The sequence below is a fragment of the Homo sapiens genome, chromosome 3, assembly GCF_000001405.40.
Source record: "Homo sapiens chromosome 3, GRCh38.p14 Primary Assembly".
NCBI lineage: Eukaryota > Metazoa > Chordata > Mammalia > Primates > Hominidae > Homo > Homo sapiens.
The window spans coordinates 113,402,671-113,422,220 of NC_000003.12; the positions used below are offsets into that span (position 1 = coordinate 113,402,671).

The window sequence follows — 19,550 nt, forward strand, 5'->3', positions numbered from 1 at the left end:
GGCTAGGTTTTTTCTATGGGGTAAGAGGTAAAGATTTACTGTGTGAAGGACTGAAAAGACAAGGACAGACTCTGAAAAGAGAAGCAAGCTTAGGAAATACTGGTGTCCATGAAGGGATCCTCTGTGAAATATTTAACTTCTTTTCTCCTGAGGTTTTCTCCCACTTGGTATTTAGACATTTTGGGGTAACGTATATCTTGGAAAGATAGCAAATATATCATATGACAAAATAAAGGACACAAAAGATTCTCAGAGAAATGTGTGAAATCTAACAAGATTAAATTTAATATTGTAAATGTAAAAAACATACACTGGGGCTCAAAAAGCCAGTGGTAAGAGGACCCACTGTGGGAGATATGGGTTAAACAATATTAAACACAGTAAGCTCAATCGGTGGCAACAGAGTGACCAGACTCTTAAAAAAGAAAAAAAAAAGAATCTTACTTTTGATAACATTTCTTAAAGAATGTCAATAGAACACTGCCACTTTCTTATGAAAGGCCCCACTGAAAATATCTACCAAGAGGACTACAAGGCAAATCACAAGGCTACAGGTTGACCAGCCACAGCACAATACTCATTAACAGAAAGTGCTACACAGAGTGGGTGGAAGAAGTGTGACAATAGCAATCAAGGGGACTTAGATGCTGGAGCAATGTTCCAGCTTAGCCCAGGCTTTGGGCAAGAGAGTGTCCCCAAGAGAAAGCAAGTGAGGTCCCTAGCATAAGGAGCAAGAAGAATGTAGCATCCATAGGCAAACTCCATCAGTTCACCTCTGGGTGTATTTCTAAGTGGTAACCTCAGTAAAAAATAACTAACAAATGTTCAGCACCTTTGTTCCTACAAAATGGCCCATTCATATGGAGCCTTTTGGAAGGATATGTGGGTCTACTGTTCATCTTGTGCTAACATGAGTTTTCATCTTCTGAAGCTATTATTTCAACAGAATCAGAATAACAAGAGGCCCTCTCAAAAAGTTTCAGTGGTAAAATGCAGTAAATTAATTTTGACAAGAATGCAAATATTTACCACAAGAGAAGCATTATTTAAAGTGAGTTGGCCTTGGGAGTAAATGACTACTGATCTCCTTCACAAAATAACCTTTATGAGAAATAAAACCCTTTGGGTGAGCTACAAGTCTTAAACGTGGGTGCTACCATCCAAGTATCGAGAAAACTTACCCTAACATATCCATCTGACCCAACAGTGATAACTTCACCCTCATACAGCATTATCTGGTTAATGGGACCATTGTGACATGACTTGCTTGTCCCTCGACAGAGCTCCACTTTGATCAGACCACCTTCCCAAAGCAGCATGTTGCCCCATTCTGACCCTGAGAGCACCTGGCAGGTATGTGGAAAAAAGAAATGTGCATTAAAACAGGTAAGTGTACATATTTATGCCTCAAATAGTAGGTGAAAATTATTTTTTAAGGTTATCTTTATTGATTATAAAATTTTTAAATGGAAAAATAAAAAAATACAGAAATGAAGACCTACTACCCCAGACACAACTACCAATAACATTTTGATGTATTTCCTTCCAGCAATATGATCAGTTTTACATCTTTTTGATTAGGCTGTATGTTGTTGGTAATTGTTCATGTATGTATACAATAGACTTCTTGGTACATCTCTTAGGACAAAAGACAGGAGTGGAATTAGATGAGAGTCTACTTTTTAAATGTAATACTATCAAATTTTAGATGTTAGATAACTTGTAAGGCCAGTACTGAATTAAGTAGATTATAGCATAATAGTATCCAATTTCAAACAAGGATAATCATCTAAAACTTTTCTCAAATTAGCCTGTTTAATCTGGCATTTTCCCAAGTGCATGCCACCAAACATTAGTTGTTAAGATATTTAACAAGTGTCACAAATAAAGTAATATTTATTGAGTACTGACTCTGTACCAAGCACTGGTTCAGTACTTTATATATGTTAAGTTATTTAATGCAAAAAACCATATGAACTAGGTACATTTATCAGGGATACCATGTACACTTGTGCATGTTGGTTACCTCATTCTCCTAGAACAAACAGCTTTTTCTGACCCCCGCAAAGGAACCATATGGGCCAATGATAGCCCTGACTATTATTATCCCCATTTTACAGAGGAGAACATTGAAGCACAAAACAGTTAAGTAACTTGCCCAAAACTACCCAGTCAGCATTCTAATCCAAGCAAGGTGGCTCAAAACCTCCTATTCTGACTGCACAGCCTCAGAAGGCTGTTGCTAGGATAAACAAAGTCAAACAACTTTATTTTCTCTAGGACCCCTGGGAACTTTTAATAGAGAAGTATTTGCTGGGAATCACCAAGAGGAATTTTTAGATACAAAGGAATTTGACTTAAAAAGTCTTATTTTTATGGAGCTTCTGTACAGACTGATGTTCCATAAAAATGCACTTTGGGAAACTCTATTCTAATTTTTACCTGCATGCTCTAGAGGTCTACATTTCCATTTCCCCCTTATCTAGAGAAACTGATGATTTTATTCAGTCCTTTATCTCTTGGGTCTACCTATTTTTTAACAACCCTACCGACTTTACTGATTCTGTTCTTAAGCCTCAGCCATTTATGGTAGAGTCTTTAGACTTATTTTCTTCTGTCCAGTGATGAAAGCCAGCAGTGATGACAAAAACCTACAAAGCATTCCTTTATGAAATGTGACTCATATCTAGCTTCCCTTTTCCATTTGTTCTGAGAAGTCTAGGCCCTTGATCATCTCTTTTTAGATGACAGCAACAGCTTCTGTTCTAGCTCATTTCCTTGACTCCAGATTTCCCTTCTAATCAACCTGGCATTTTATGGCCAAATTTGTTTATTACTTCTTTCATTTGCAAGTCTACTCTTCCCATGTAGAGTAGTTCTGCCTACCTATTAAACTCCTTGTACACTAGGACCAAGTCATACTTCTCCACTGAAATTCTCCACTTTTTGCCAACATAAATGGTTAATTCCAATTTGCCCTCTAAAAATTTGATATTTATTTCTAATGCTAAACATTTCCTTCAGTTGCTCTATCATTTAAAATGGCTTATTTCTTCCCTATATCTATACAAATTCTACCAACCCTTTAAAAAATATATCTCATACCAGGTTTTTAACAAGGATTCTATTGATCTTTATCTTAGCTTAATTCTTACAGTATTGAGAATTTGAAGCTGGGATGATTTAAGATCATCTCATGGATTTAGACATATAGTTTCGCCAGCATCCAAGGCTTTTTACTTCCTCCTATATACCATGCTTTTGAATTGAGAATATTCAGTCAGGTAGATGACTAGACAACTTGGTTCCTTAAATATTTGTGTGCTGGCATTTACTTACAACTGAGATTATCACAAATAATAATGTATAACTCATTCTAATAGGAAGCTATGTAAAATATTGATAGAGAACTAATCCTAATTAACTATTGTTTCAGGCAATATGCCTATAAATTTTATAAGAGAAAGAAAGGAAAGAAACTAACAATATTAAAGAATAAATTAACAGATTACAGTTGCAGTGTTGCAGATGCCTCTATAAAGTGGTTTGCTCTTTCTGAGTAATAATCTGACAATAAAAATAAATGCCACATGGTTGTATATAACCTTTGACCCAATAAGTCTTCTTGGATCACGATAGCAAGACAAAATGGGGAAAAGTAAGTAACATAAATACTGCAACTCTGTGACATAACTGAAAGTAACAAATATTTGGGAGGCCGAGGTGGGCGGATCACGAGGTCAGGAGATCAAGACCATCCTGGCTAACACGGTGAAACCCCGTCTCTACTAAAAATACAAAAAATTAGCCAGGCATGGTGGCAGGCGCCTGTAGTCCCAGCTACTCGGGAGGCTGAGGCAGGAGAATGGCGTGAACCCGGGAGGCAGAGCTTGCAGTGAGCGGAGATCGCGCCACTGCACTCCAGCCTGGGCAACAGAGCGAGACCCTGTCTCAAAAAAAAAAAAAAAGTAACAAATATGTCATTATGTTAATATATGAAAATGCTCACATACTTTATATGTGTGTACCATATTTAGTAAAAAGAAAATAGAAAATGGTAGGTAAGTATGGATTATGACAATTTCAGGGAAATATTTTAATTACAATTGATAATTGAAGAAGTAAAATTAAATGTTCATTACATTTACAATAATATCTGTTATTGGCAGAGCTTGTTAGAATTTTCATATATGTGTGCTTTCATATATGTACTTGAAAACACAATTTTAATATTGTAGAATAGTAGCTGTACTCACCTTCCCATCTGGGAGCTCCATGTAGCCTTCTATATCAGTAGTGATTGTTTTGCCAAATCGACCTAGTGATCCCTGCAGCTTGAGACCGGTGAACGTAAAAGCCATTTCCCAGAACCTACAAACAAGAAAGAGACTGAATGTACCTCAAAGATATTTTATTGATTTTTATTTTAATATGACCCAAACATTTACATATTTCATAGTTGCATATATTATTTCATTCATTCATTCATTTATCTGATTAAGATTTATTAAGTATCTACTACCTGCCCGGCAAGGTTGTAGGCAATGTGAATTCTGCAATGATCAAAACAGGCGAAAAATAAAATTTCCTGCTTTCATGCATCTTATATTTTAGGGCTGTGCTACCTAATGCAGTACCCTCCAGCTATGTGTGACTATTTAAATTTAGATTTAAAGTAATTAACATTAAATAAAATCAACATTTTAGTGTTTCAGTCACACTAGCCAATTTCAAGTGCTCAGTAACTACATGTGGCTGGCAGCTATTGTATTAGACAGCATAGAACATTCCCAGTCTGTCAGAAAGTTCTATTAGACAGTATTGTTTTAGAAGACATAAAAGTTTTCCAAAGAATTCTAATTTACTAGCTGTGTGACTTTGAGCACTTTTCTAGATCACCCTGTGCCTTCATTTTCTCAGGTATAAAATGAGAAAATTAGTAACATCTACCTCATAGAATTGTTGAAAAATTCTTAGAACAGTGCCTATCATATCAAAGCAATCAATAAATGTTATTACTAACATTTTCTTATTAATAGTCTAAACAAATGGACAGGATGATGAAGACCATGTAGAAAAAGAAGACCTATCCAAGTAGATATAAAATAGATAATGGAGAGTATCAACAAGCCAATGATACAAAGCTAAAAGCCTAGATAGCCAACATCCTCTCCAAAGGAATGGTAGGTCCCCTGATGATATGCTTCCATATACTCTGGGTTCCTTCATAGCACTTCACACATGAAATTAACTGTTCAATGTCTGCCTTTTCCCCAAAGATATGGGGCATAGAAAATACAGATTTTACTAAATAATCAGAAAATATAAGAAATTGGAAAATTTTCACATATAGCTAGCAGAAGGTTATTTGACAATTCCCCAAAGATTACAATTAAAAATCTGCTCAATTAGTCTATATTTCTAATAAATGAATAACAAAAAGACCAGATTTAAATTGAGACAAGAGGAAGTCAGGATGGATAAAAATGTCTTTCTCTTAGAGACACTGATAATCAAGTTATGGGAAGCTCTGGGGTGGTAGAAGATTGTTACGCAAATGCATGAGACAAAGTGGAAGAAAGAGAGAGAAAGACAAGATCATTCCATCCCGGAAATAGACGAGGGTATGATATAATGAAAAGAGCATGGAGTTTGGAGCAAGACCTAAGATCAAGAGTAGGTTCTGCCACTGTTTCGTATTGAGTGTTCCTTGTCAGGAATGATAGTGTGATAATTCTTGTTTTACAGATGAAGACTGAGTTGCTACAAAAAAGAAATTCAGTAGTGGATGTGAAAGCTCAGTATGAATTTGGAAATACCATCCCAATGTTAGTTATTAAGACACTACATAAACTCTTTTAGGAGGTGGAGCCTATAAGAAGGCAGCAGGCTATATTTAAAAATCCTTATTTGGCTGGGCACAGTGGCTTACGCCTGCAATCCCAGCACTTTGGGAGGCTGAGGCGGGTGGATCACATGAGGTCAGGAGTTCGAGACCAGCCTGACCAACACGGAGAAACCCAACTCTACTAAAAATACAAAATTAGCCAAGCGTTGTGGTGGGTGCCTGTAGTCCCAGCTACTCAGGAGGCTGAGGCAGGAGAATCGCTTGAACCCAGGAGGCGGAGGTTGCAGTGAGCTGAGATCATGCCATTGCACTCCAGCCTGGGCAACAAAAGCGAAACTCCATTTCAAAAAAAAAAAAAAAAAAAGCCCTTATTTTATCTATGCTGTTTGCAGAAATAAAATCCCACATATCTAATTAGAAAAGGTGCATTACTAGTTAGCTTTTAAAATAACATATTTTTAAATAATTCTAATGTTAACCAAAACAGCAAAAAAAAAAAAAAAAAAAAAAAGTCTCCAGCTCTTAGATCCTCTTAGAAAAATACTCCTGTGATATCTACTGGCACCTCTATTGGTTACCCAACCTACTTGATGTGGCCTGATCCCGATGTAGTAAGCTGCTCTTCCTTATCAGGATTGAAAGTAACCTTAAAAACTTCCTGAGAAAAAGCTTTTGTCCTTAGTATGGGTTGTTCTTCTTTCCAGTTCCAGATAGTCAGTGTGTAGTCAGGGTTACTACCAACAGAGGCCAGCAAGTTACCGCTGTAGTTAAAGTCCACATAAGCATATCCCTTCTCAGTCCCATCTGGAAGGATAAATGGAAGCCTAATAAATAAGGACACATTTATTTCATTTTCAAAAACATATTGTAAAAAAAAGAGAGGGAGTCAGCCCATGGTGATGTAAGAATGCCAAGAATACCCTAAAGGAACAATTCCAAAAACATTCTCCATCTTTGGCTTTAGAATGAATTATGTTATATGAAAGGGGAGGGTAAAGAAGTCTTAATCACATATTGCATGAGAAAAACACTTTGAGAACATATTCCATTTTATGACTTGGGGAGAAACACAAACGCATATTAGATAGCAGTGTCAGAAACATTAAAACCAGAGTGACTCCATCTGGAATAGGAGCTGGGTAAAATGAGGCTGAGACCTACTGGGCTGCATTCCCAGGAGGTTGGGCTTTCTAACTCACCAGATCAGATAGGTGGTTGGCACAAGATACAGGTCAAAAGACCCAACTGATAAAACAGGATGTGGTAAATATGCTGGCCAAAACCCACCAGAATCAAGATGGTGATGAAAGCGACCTCTGGTCGTCCTCACTACTCATTATATGCTAATTATAATGCATTAATATGTTAAGGATACTCCCACCAGCACCATGACAGTTTATAAATACCATGGCCACATCAGTAAGTTACCTTATATGGCCTAAAAAGGGAGGAACCCTAAGTTCCAGGAATTGCCCACCCGTTTCCTGTCCGGAAACCTCATGAATAATCGACTCCTTGTTTAGCATATAATCAAGAATAACTATGAGTATTCTCAGCCAAGCAGCCCAAGCCACTGCTCTGCCTATGGAGTAGCCATTCTTTTATTCCTTTACTTTCTTAATAAACTTGTTTTCTTTTTTTTTTATTATACTTTAAGTTCTAGGGTACATGTGCACAACGTGCAGGTTTGTTACATATGTATACATGTGTCATGTTGGTGTGCTTCACCCATTAACTCAACATTTACATTAGGTATATCTCCTAATGCTATCCCTACCCCCTCTCCCACCCCACGACAGGCCCCGGTGTGTGATGTTCCCCTTCCTGTGTCCAAGTGTTCTCATTGGTCAATTCCCACCTATGAGTGAGAACATGCAGTGTTTGGTTTTTTGTCCTTGCAATAGTTTGCTCAGAATGATGGTTTCCAGCTTCACCCATGTCCCTGCAAAGGACATGAACTCATCCTTTTTTATGGCTGCATAGTATTCCATGGTTATATGTGCCACATTTTCTTAATCCCGTCTATCATTGATGGACATTTGGGTTGGTTCCAGGTCTTTGCTATTGTGAATAGTGCCACAATGAACATACATGTGCATGTGTCTTTATAGTAGCATGATTTATAATCCTTTGGGTATATACCCAGTAATGGGATGGCTGGGTCAAATGGTATTTCTAGTTGTAGATCCTTGAGGAATCACCACACTGTCTTCCACAATGGTTGAACTAATTTACACTCCCACCAGTAGTGTAAAAGCATTCCTATTTCTCCACATCCTCTCCAGCATCTGTTGTTTCCTGACTTTTTAATGATCACCATTCTAACTGGTGTGAGATGGTATCTCATTGTGGTTTTGATTTGCATTTCTCTGATGGCCAGTGATGATGAGCATTTTTTCATTTTGTCTGTTGGCTACATAAATGTCTTCTTTTGAGAAGTGTCTGTTCATATCCTTCACCCACTTTTTGATGGGGTTGTTTTTTTCTTGTAAATTTGTTTGAGTTCTTTGGAGATTCTGGATATTAGCCCTTTGTCAGATGAGTAGATTGCAAAAATTTTCTCCCATTCTGTAAGTTGCCTGTTCACTCTGATGGTAGTTTCTTTTGCTGTGCAGAAGCTCTTTAGTTTAATTAGATCCCATTTGTCAATTTTGGCTTTTGTTGCCATTGCTTTTGGTGTTTTACACATGAAGTCCTTGCCCATGCCTATTTCCTGAATGGTGTTGCCTAGGTTCTCTTCTAGGGTTTTTATGGTTTTAGGTCTAACAATTAAGTCTTTAATCCATCTTGAATTAATTTTTGTATAAGGTGTAAGGAAGGGATCCAGTTTCAGCTTTCTACATATGGCTAGCCAGTTTTCCCAGCACCATTTATTAAATAGGGAATCCTTTCCCCATTTCTTGTTTTTGTCAGGTTTGTCAAAGATCAGATGGTTGTAGATGTGTGGTATTATTTCTGAGGGCTCTGTTCTGCTCCATTGGTCTATATATCTGTTTTAGTACCAGTACCATGCTGTTTTGGTTACTGTAGCCTTGTAGTATAGTTTGAAGTTAGGTAGCATGATACCTCCAGCTTTGTTCTTTTGGCTTAGGATTGTCTTGGCAATGTGGCCTTTTGGTTCCATATGAACTTTAAGGTAGTTTTTTCCAATTCTATGAAGAAAGTCATTGGTAGCTTGATGGGGATGGCATTGAATCTATAAATTACCTTGGGCAGTATGGCCATGTTCATGATATTGATTCTTCCTATCCATGAGCATGGAATGTTCTTCCATTTGTTTGTGTCCTCTTTTAATTCATTGAGCAGTGGTTTGTAGTTCTCCTTGGAGAGGTCCTTCACATCCCTTGTAAGTTGGATTCCTAGGTATTTTATTCTCTTTGAAGCAATTGTGAATGGGAGTTCACTCATGATTTGGCTCTCTGTCTGTTATTGGTGTATAAGAATGCTTGTGATTTTTGCACACTGATTTTGTATCCTGAGACTTTGCTGAAGTTGCTTATCAGCTTAAGCTATTCATGACAAACCCACAGCCAATATCATATTGAATGGGCAAAAACTGGAAGCATTCCCTTTGAAAACTGGCACAAGACAGGGATGCCCTCTCTCACCACTCCTATTCAACACAGTGTTGGAAGTTCTGGCCGGGCAATCAGGCAAGAGAAAGAAATAAAAGGAATTCAATTAGGAAAAGAGGAACTCAAATTGTCCCTGTTTGCAGATGACATGGTTGTATATTAGAAAACCCCATCGTCTCAGCTTAATAAACTTGTTTTCATTTTACTCTATGGATTCACCTCAAATTATTTCTTGCACAAGGTCTAAGAACCCTCTCTTGGGGTCTGGATCGGGACCCCTTTTCCATGACAATTCCATTAAATATATCTCTTTTATTTCTTCTAAAAAAAAAAAGATACATGTGCAGAACGTGCAAGTTTGTTACATAGGTATATGTGTGCCATGGTGGTCTGCTGCACCTATTGACCTGTCCTCTAAGTTCCTTCCCCTCACCCCCACCCCCCAACAGGCCCTGGTGTGTGTTGTTCCCCTCTCTGTGTCCATGTGTTCTCAATCTTCAACTCCCATTTATGAGTCAGAACACACAGCATTTGGTTTTCTGTTCCTGTGTTAGTTTGCTGAGGATGATGGCTTCCAGCTTCATCCATGTCCCTGCAGAGGACATGATCTCATTCCTTTTTATGGCTACATAGTATTCCATGATGTATATGTACCACATTTTCTTCATCCAGTCTATCATTGATGGGCACTTGGGTTGGTTCCACGTCTTTGCTATTGTAAATAGTGTTGTAATAAACATACGTGTGCATGTCTCTTTACAGCAGAATGATTTATATTCCTTTGGGTATATAACCAGTAATGGTATTGCTGGGTCAAATGGCATTTCTGGTTGTAGATCCTTGAGGAATCGCCATACTGTCTTCAACAATGGTTGAATTAATTTACATTCCCACCAAAAGTGTAAAAGCATTCCTATTTCTCCAGAGCCTCGCCAGCATCTACTGTTTCCTGACTTTTTAATAATTGCCATTCTGACTGGCATGAGATGGTATCTCATTGTAGTTTTGATTTGCATTTCTCTGATGATCAGTGATGTTGAGCTTTTTTTCATATGCTTGTTGGCTGCATAGATGTATTCTTTTGAGAAGTATCTGTTCATATCCTTTGCCCACTTTTTGATGGAATTTTTTTTTCTTGTAAACATGTTTAAGTTCCTTGTAAATTCTGGATATTAGACCTTTGTCAGATGGGTAGATTGCAAAAATTTTCTCCCTCTCTGTAGGTTGCTTGTTCACTCTAATGATAGTTTATTTTGCTGTGCAGAAGCTCTTTAGTTTAATTAACTCTCTTTTGTCAATTTTGGCTTTTGTTGCAATTGCTTTTGGCTTTTTTGTCATGAAGTCTTTGCCCATGCCTATGTCCTGAATGGTATTGCCTAGGTTTTCTTCTAGGGTTTTTATGGTTTTGGATTTTACATTTAAGTCTTTAATCCATCTTGAGTTAATTTTTGTATAAGGTGTAAGGAAGAGGTCCAGTCTCAGTTTCCTGCATTTGACTAGCCACTTTTCCCAGCACCACTTACTGAATAGGAAATCCTTTCCCCGTTGCTTGTTTTTGTCAGGTTTGCCAAAGATCAGATGTGTGGTGTTATTTCTGAGGTCTCTGTTCTGCTCCATTGGTCTATATGTCTGTTTTGGTACCAGTACCATGCTGTTTTGTTTACTGTAGCCTTGTAGTATAGTTTGAAGTCAGGTAGTGTGATGCCTCCAGCTTTGTTCTTTTTGCTTAGGACTGTCTTGACTGTATGGGGTCTTCTTTGATTCCACGTGAAACTTAAAATCACTTTTTCTAATTCTGTGAAGAATGCTAATGGTAGTTTGATGGGAATAGCATTGAATCTATAAATTACTTTGGGCAGTATGGCCATTTTCACAACATTGATTCTTTCTATCCATGAGCATGAATGTTTTTCCGTTTGTTTGTGTCCTCTCTTACTTCCTTGAGCAGTGGTTTGTAGTTCTCCTTGAAGAGGTCCTTCACATCCCTTGTTAGTTGTATTCCTAGGTATTTTATTCTCTTTGTAGTGATTGTGAATGGAAGTTCATTCATGATTTGGCTCTCTGCTTGTCTATTGTTGATGTATAGGAATGCTTGTGATTTTTGCACATTGATTTTGTATCCTGAGACTTTGCTGAAGTTGCTTATCAGCTTAAGGAGATTTTGGGCTGAGATGATGGGGTTTTCTAAATATAAAGTCATGTCATCTGCAAACAGTGACAACTTGACTTCCTCTCTTCCTATTTGAATACGCTTCATTTCTTTCTCTTGCCTGATTTCCCTGTCCAGAACTTCCAATACTATGTTGAATAGGAGTGGTGAGAGAGGGCATCCTTGTCTTGTACCAGTTTTCAAAGAGAATGCTTCCAACTTTTGCCCATTCAATATGATATTGGCTGTGGGTTTGTCATAAATAGCACTTATTATTTTAAGATATATTCCATCAATACCTAGTTTATTGAGAGTTTTTGAAATGAAGGGATGTTAAATTTTGTTGAAGGCCTTTTCTGCATCTATTGAGATAATCATGTGGTTTTTGTCTTTGGTTCTGTTTATGTGATGGATTACGTTTATTGATCTGTGTATGTTGAACCAGCCTTGCATACCAGGGATGAAGGCGGCGTGATCATGGTGGATACGTTTTTCGATGTGCTGCTGGATTTGGTTTGCCAGTATTTTATTGAAGATTTTTGCATCGATGTTCATCAGGGATATTGGCCTGAGGTTTTCTTTTTTTTGTTATGTCTCTTTCCGGTTTTGGTATCAGGATGATGCTGGCTTCGTAAAATGAGTTAGGAAGGAGTCTCTCCTTTTCAAATGTCTGGAATAGTTTCAGAAGGAATGGTACCAGCTCCTCTTTGTATTTCTAGTAGAATTCTGCTGTGAATCTATCTGGTCCTGGAGTTTTTTTTGGTTGGTAGGCTATTAATTACTGCCTCAATTTCAGAGCATGTTATTGGTCTATTCAGGGATTCAACTTCTTTCTGGTTTAGCCTTGGTAGGGTGTATGCATCCAGGAATTTATCCATTTCTTCTAGATTTTCTAGTTTATTTGCATAGAGGTATCTATGGTATTCTCTGATGGTAGTCTGTATTTCTGTGGGTTCAGTGGTGATTTACCCTTTATTACTTTTTATTGCATCTATTTGATTCTTCTCTTCCTTCTTCCTTATTAGTCTAGCTAGTGGTGTACCTATGTTGTTAATTTTTTCAAAAAAACAGCTCCTGGATTCATTGATTTTTTTGGAGGGTTTTTCTGTCTCTATCTCCTTCTGTTCTTCTCTGATCTTAGTTATTTCTTATCTTCTGCTACCTTTTGGATTCATTTGCTCTTGCCTCTCTAGTTCATTTAATTGTGATGTTAGGGTGTCAATCTGAGATCTTTCTGGCTTTTTGATGTGGGTATTTAGTGCTATAAAATTCCCTCTTAACACTGCTTTAGCTGTGTCCTAGAGATTCTGGTATATCCTCTCTTTGTTCTCATTGGTTTCAAAGAACTTCTTGATTTCTGCCTTAATTTCATTATTTACACAGGAGTCATTCAGGAGCAGGTTGTTCAATTTCCATGAAGTTGTGTGGTTTTTAGTGAGTTTCTTAATCCTGAGTTCTAATTTGATTGCACTGTGGTCTGAGAGACTGTTATGATTTCAACTCTTATGCATTTGCTGAGGAGTGTTTTACTTCCAATTATGTGGTCGATTTTAGTATAAGTATCATGTGGCACTGAGAAGAATGTATATTCTGTAGATTTGGAGTAGGGGAGAGCTCTGTAGAGGTCTATCAGGTCCACTTGATCCAGAGTTGAGTTCAAGTCCTGAATATCCTTGTTAATTTTCTGTCTCATTGATTTAATATTGACAGTGGGGTGTTAAATTCTCCCACTACTATTGTGTGGGAGTCTAAGTCTCTTAGTAGGTCTCTAAGAACTTGTTTTATGAATCGGGGTGCTCTGTATTGGATGTATACATATTCAGAATAGTTAGCTCTTCTTGAATTGTTCCTGTTACCATTATGTAATGCCCTTGTCTTTTTTGATTTGTGTTAGTTTAAAATCTGCTTTGTCAGAGACTAAGATTGCAACCCTTGGTGTTTTTTTGTTTTTTTTTCCTTTCCATTTACTTGGTAAATTTTCCTCCATTCCTTTGTTTTGAGCCTGTGTGTGTCTTTGCAGGTAAGATGGGTCTCCAGAATTACAGCACACCAATGGGTCTTGACTCCTTATCCAATTTGCCAGTCTGTGTCTTTTAATTGGGGCATTTAGCCCATTTACATTTAAGGTTAGTATTGTTGTGTGTGAATTTGAATAAATCTCTTTTCTGTCTTCCACTAGTTCTGTTTCTCTGGAGAACCTTGACTTATGAAATAATGTCACACCTTCTTCAGAATGTTGTTATCCTTGAACATGAAATATTTAAATATGCTTCTGGACTCACCTCGAAGGACTCTGTATGGTCTCAGAGAAGGATATTCATAGATGATAATATCTGGAAAACTCCCTTTTTCAGCTACTGTGAAATAAGTTTTATGTGGATGAACCTACAAAAGATAAAATTTCACCAAAATATTAAAAGAAAGATTTTTGTATAAATAGTCTGATTAATGCAGTATTTAGCATCCATTATTTCATAATTTATTAGGCTTTACTCTAATAGAAAACTCAAAAATGGGCATCAGATAAATATTTAATGATGGATACAATTGAAACTGAAAACTAGAAGAATACACATTTTAAATTTTACTTTAAGACAGCCATTTCTAACTCTACAATTTCTTTCATTGCCATTGGAAGAGCTAGAACAATGGTTCTCTATCTTCAATGTGCATCAGAATCCACTAAAGAACTTATTAAAATATAGATTGCAAGCCCTAACACCCAGAGTTTCTGACTTAATCTGTCAGGCTGGGACTCAAGAATTTGCATTTACATGTCTAATAAGGTAATTTCTAACTGCGTGATTTACATTCTAACAAGGTGATTTACATTTCTAACAAGGTGATGTTGATGCAGCTAGTTTGGAGACCTTGCTTTGAGAATCACTGAGATGAACTGTCTACCCTACATATAAATCAACCTAAATTTTGTATAGAAAAATTCATGGAATGTATGGGATTCTTGTTTCCAGACCAGGTTACATCACAATTTTTAAAATTTCACTGTGGAAAAAGTTACAAACGAATGTAAACTTACCAGAAGTAAGAAAGATATAATATTTCCAAACCAGACACAGAGGAAAATACAGTAAGTATGCCCTGGATAAACTATTTGTGTCAGTATTTTCAAAGATAGCCATATAAGTTGGATAAAATAGTATGGTCATTTCTGTTATTTTTGTCTATTGGTAAGCCAAATGTGTAGGAAGGGTAAATGGCCAGCCAAAAAATGAAAATAAAAATAAGCTGTTATAAGGATAAGCTATTTAAAACACATATTATGCTTATAAAATTCTGTTTTCAGATATTATTTCACATCCCCTGATTACATATAAGACAAAGAGCCTGGTTCTCAGATATAGATTGCTAATCCTGGTACCCAAGATAACATTATTTCCTTTAAATTTTATACCAACCTTGTGAGCTTGGATACCATTATTATCTCCATCTTATTGATGAGTAAACTGAGGCACAGAGTTCAAGTAACTTGCCTGCAGTCACACAGTCTACAATGTGTTAAGTGTAAGAGATAGGATTCAAGCCAAGTATCAGAGTCAAGAAGCAAACGGGCCTAAGAAATAGTAGATCTCAAGGAGGTGGGGGACATGGATTAAGACCATATCTATCTAGATTCCCATTTGTAAAGAAATATGGTGTAGAACATATGGTCAAAGAAATCTGGATGAAGATTCATGCAAATCCTTTACCCTTCTAGGTCTTGTCTACAGTAAATTAAAAAGTTTCTGCCTCATATTGGAAACTGCTGTGGGGTTGAGTTTGGGAGTTTTATTTATTTAATTATTTATTGAGACACAATTTATTTATTTATTTATTTATTTATTTATTGAGACACAATTTATTTATTGAGACTCTGTCACTCTGTCACCCAGGCTGGAGTGCAGTGGCATGATCTCTGCTGTCTGCAACCTCTGCCTCCCAGGCTCAAGCAATTCTCGTGCCTCAGCCTCCCAAGTAGCTGGGATTATAGGTGTGCACCACCACACCTGCTAATTTTTGTATTTTTAGTAGATACGGGGTTTTACCATGTTGGCCAGGCTTGTCTTGAACTCCTGGCCTCAAGTGATCCACCCACCTCAGCCTCCCAAAGTGCCATGATTACAGGCAGGAGCCACCGCGCCAAGCCAGGAGTTTTATTTTTGGTGAAGACCTGGAATTAGTAAATCATTTACTTTACACTCAACATAGAGGTTCACCCTACCTTTTCCAGGTAGGGTGCCCAAACACTTTTCTCATAGGTTTCTCATAGCCTTGCTAAAGTATTTCTGAACCATAACTGGATAACTGTTTCAGAAAAGATGAGGTAACACGGACAGTGGAGGCAAGGCCTCTGTCACTACCCAGGCTTCAACAGCTCCAGCACACATGAAGAAAAGGCCTTGTGGACATAAAACTGCTCAACATCCAGGTGGATGAGAGTTAGGATTAGCTTTTGTTTTTTTTGTTTTTTGGGTTTTTTTTTTGAGACAGAGTCTTGCCCTGTCGCCCAGGCTGAAGTGCAACGGCATGATCTCAGTTCACTGCAACCTCCACTTCCCAAGTTCAAGTGGTTCTCTGCCTCAGGCTCCTGAGTAGCCGGGATTACAGGCGCGTGCCACCATGCCTGGCTAATTTTTTGTATCTTTAGTAGAGACAGGGTTTCACCATGTTGGCCAGGCTGGTCTTGATCTCCTGACCTCGTGATCCACCCGCCTCAGCCTCCCAAAGTGCTGGGATTATAGGCATGAGCCACCGTGCTTGGCCAGGATTAGCATGCTTGACCACACTACACCTCTGACTACTGTCCTCAAACCAAATTATTTTATAACAAAATATTAAAATAGAAATTTTAAAACTATTACTGCCATAAAGTAATAGATAAATATGTGATAATTAGATGTTTCTTGGTCCCCTGCAGATGGTGTGGACCTCAGGGCTCCTGAAACCTCATAGGCTCCGACTGACTTCCCTCCACAAAATCCACGACCCTTACATTGGGCCCATGGCTATCTGCACACAGTTATTGCCACATTATCATGTACTTGTGTGTCTAGTTTTTTTTTCTTTTTACAAATATAGGTCTTGTCTCTTTAGATGGATTTTAAACTCTGAATTCATACAGGTCATGAGTTCTTCTTCATTTAAATTCCCCATTATATGTTCTGTGTAGTGTTGGATGCACAGTATTACATAATAAATTATTGCTGAACTTATTAATTAGTCTTATAACAAACTCTCCGAGGACATGGACTTTTATCATGTATACATACTATATATAGATAGATGATCAAGAAAGAAACAAACATGATAGTATCTTTCACTCCATATATCTCAACATATCCTGTTTCCATAGTCAATCTATGTCTACATCCTATGTGTGTGTCTCACATTTTCCTCACCTTCTCCATTCCCATGGCCATGTGCCTGCTTCAGTCTTCAGATTAAGATTCTTTAAAATCTCCTCACTCATCTCCACTTCTAATCTAAATATGAAAAACTTGCACGACTATGGGGAAGTCACCTAACCTCTATAAGCCCATTTCCTTATCTGCAAAAAGACATAATAATATTATAATAGTGCACAGAGGTAGTGACAGTGAATGAGTGTCTGTAATAACTGAATTGAAAATGCCTTGGAATAAAGACAGCTGTGCATCTCATGTGAACCCACAATACTGTGCATGGTGTTGGCATCTAACAACCATGTTGGCTGGTCCACAGAACAAGCAAAAAGATAGGGTTTTTTGGGGTTTTTTTCTAATTTATTGAAGGCATACCCCAATGACGCCAATTCCTTCACCACTGCTACTTCGCAGGTAGATCTGTTCCTTGGTTTTCAAATTCAGAAAGATCAGTTGGTTCCCAGCTATGTATATGGCGATACTGTCGTCCAGAAGTTGTAGGTTGGCTCGCTTTCTACAGTCATAACCAAAAGAATGTCTGAGGGAAAGTTGCTAAGGAAAAGAAGTGAAAAACACTACCATCCTAGGGATTGGAAAAGTGATGAAATAAATTTTTAAATCTATACTCTTAGATGAAGATGTGAGGTTGAAGTAGTTGAATTTTACCCTGAAACTCATGATTTTTCTACATATTACTAACAATTTTGTTTTTAAATTAGGTGAGAAAAAAAAGGCCTGGGCAGGAAAACAATAAACAAATAAATAAATAAATCAGGTGACTATCCCCATACTCTGATTTGGTTACTATTTTAATTTTCCTGGGGAAATCCTGAGAGCCCATTAATTGTTTTTGCAAAAATAAATAAGGTTAAACCTATTTGGGTACCACAGGCAGCAAAACTGTCACCTAAATAATTTTATTTTCCTCTCTCCCACTAAAACTAAATCATACTGTATAACATGGGAGAAAGTCTGTATCTTCATCACCTTTGTATTCACAATGCCTGTTAAGTTTGTTGACTAACCACAGTAAAAATATTACGTAGGCCTTTTCCTTGATGTTGAAAGACAAGATGCTTAAAATTCTAACAAACATGTTTGTAAAATTTTAACACACCATTTGATAACATGATTATAATAAATTCACATAAATATAACTAAAATTTAATTCATATCAACAAATTATGAAAATTGATTTATAGCATATAAATATATATGTAATTAATAGACTAACATTTCTTTTCTGAGCTTATTAGTATATGTATTGGTGTGTAGGTAACTAGTGTGTGTGTATATGTATGTGTTTGTGTGTATGTATGCTATAGAGTAAAATTGTACTAATTCAAAATAGAGTGGGACCTAACTCAACTAAAGAGTTTCTGTACTGCAAAATAAACCATCAACAGATTAAACAGACAACCTACAGAATGGGAGAAAATATTCCCAAACTATGCATCTGACAAAGGGCTAATATCCAAAATCTATAAGGAACTTAAAGAAATCAACAAGAAAAAAATAATCCCACTAAAAAGCAGGCAGAGGACTTCAATAGACACTTTTCAAAAGAAGACATGCAAGCGACCAACAAACATGAAAAACGCTCCACATCACTAATCATCAGTGAGATGCAAATCAAAACCACAATGAGATACCATCTCACACCAGTCAGAATGGCTATCATTAAAAAGTCAAAAAATGAGAGATGTTGGTGAGGCTACAGACAAAAGCGAATGCTTATATACTATCAGTGAGAATGTAAATCAGTTCAGCCACTGTGGAAAGCAGTTTGAAGATCTCTGAAAGAACTAAAAATAGAACTACCATTCAACCTAGTAATCCAATTACTGGGGATATACCCAAAGGAAAATCATTGTACCAAAAAGACACATGCACTCATATGTTTATCACAGCACTATTTATAACAGCAAAGACATGGAATCAACCTAGATACCCATCAGTGGTGCACTGGATAACGAAAATGTGGCATATATACACCATGAAATACTATACAGCCGTGAAAAGAATGAAATCATGTCCTTTGCATCAGCATGGATGCAGCAGGAGGCCATTATCCTAAGCAAATTAATGCAGAAACAGAAAACCAAATATTGCATGTTCTCACTTATAAGTGGGAGCTAAATCTTGAGTACACACAGACACAAAGACAGGAACGACAGACACTAGGGATTCCAAAGGGAGGGAGGGAGGGAGGGGGCACGGCTGAAAAACTTCCTATTGGGTACTATGTTCACTATGTGGGTGATGAGATCAACAGAAGCCCTAACCTCAGTATCACACAATATATCCTTAAAACAAACCTGCATGTGTACCCTCTGTATCTAAAATAAATATATTTTTTTAAAAAAGAGGTATAAAAATCTAAGTTATATAAAACATCTTTTAAATGTATATTGTTAGTATGTTTAAGTCAAAATTAATATGCCCAAAATATAAATATAATAAGCAAGTTAAATGAGCTCAATCTATGAAAAAAACTAGAGCTGACAAAAGAAGCATATCCTATAGTGTAGCTTAAGCAGATAGATTCTTTGTTCACAATAATTTGTTGCTGAACATCA

The 19,550-nt window shown here is 37.1% G+C and overlaps 1 protein-coding gene and 2 long non-coding RNA genes across 9 annotated transcripts in view; 1 reads left to right on the forward strand and 2 right to left on the reverse strand.

Annotated features, from left to right (window-relative positions):
* The window catches only part of SPICE1-CFAP44 (SPICE1-CFAP44 readthrough (NMD candidate)), a 228,227-nt gene that overhangs the window by 115,741 nt on the left and 92,936 nt on the right, over positions 1-19,550 (reverse strand). For 3 of the 6 annotated variants that reach the window (NR_183045.1, NR_183049.1, NR_183047.1), the window contains 4 exons: positions 17,347-17,509; positions 13,855-13,957; positions 4,257-4,371; positions 1,182-1,346 (listed from right to left, as the gene is read on the reverse strand). This is a non-coding gene — a long non-coding RNA (SPICE1-CFAP44 readthrough (NMD candidate)). Of the gene's footprint in view, positions 1-1,181; positions 1,347-4,256; positions 4,372-6,435; positions 6,653-13,854; positions 13,958-16,968; positions 17,118-17,346; positions 17,510-19,550 lie in introns of all 6 variants that reach the window. The other 3 variants (NR_183048.1, NR_183046.1, NR_183050.1) reach the window with 3 other exon arrangements.
* CFAP44 (cilia and flagella associated protein 44) overlaps positions 1-19,550 on the reverse strand; it is a 154,585-nt gene that overhangs the window by 115,741 nt on the left and 19,294 nt on the right. For both annotated transcript variants that reach the window (NM_001164496.2, NM_018338.3), the window contains exons 5-9: positions 17,347-17,509; positions 13,855-13,957; positions 6,436-6,652; positions 4,257-4,371; positions 1,182-1,346 (exon numbers count right to left, since the gene is read on the reverse strand). In NM_001164496.2, coding sequence (NP_001157968.1) covers positions 1,182-1,346; positions 4,257-4,371; positions 6,436-6,652; positions 13,855-13,957; positions 17,347-17,509 — 763 coding nt within the window. The remainder of the gene's footprint in view (positions 1-1,181; positions 1,347-4,256; positions 4,372-6,435; positions 6,653-13,854; positions 13,958-17,346; positions 17,510-19,550) is intronic.
* Positions 1,328-19,550, forward strand: part of CFAP44-AS1 (CFAP44 antisense RNA 1) — a 29,995-nt gene continuing 11,772 nt past the window's right edge. The window contains exons 1-2 of the long non-coding RNA NR_046728.1: positions 1,328-1,386; positions 14,545-14,660. This is a non-coding gene — a long non-coding RNA (CFAP44 antisense RNA 1). The remainder of the gene's footprint in view (positions 1,387-14,544; positions 14,661-19,550) is intronic.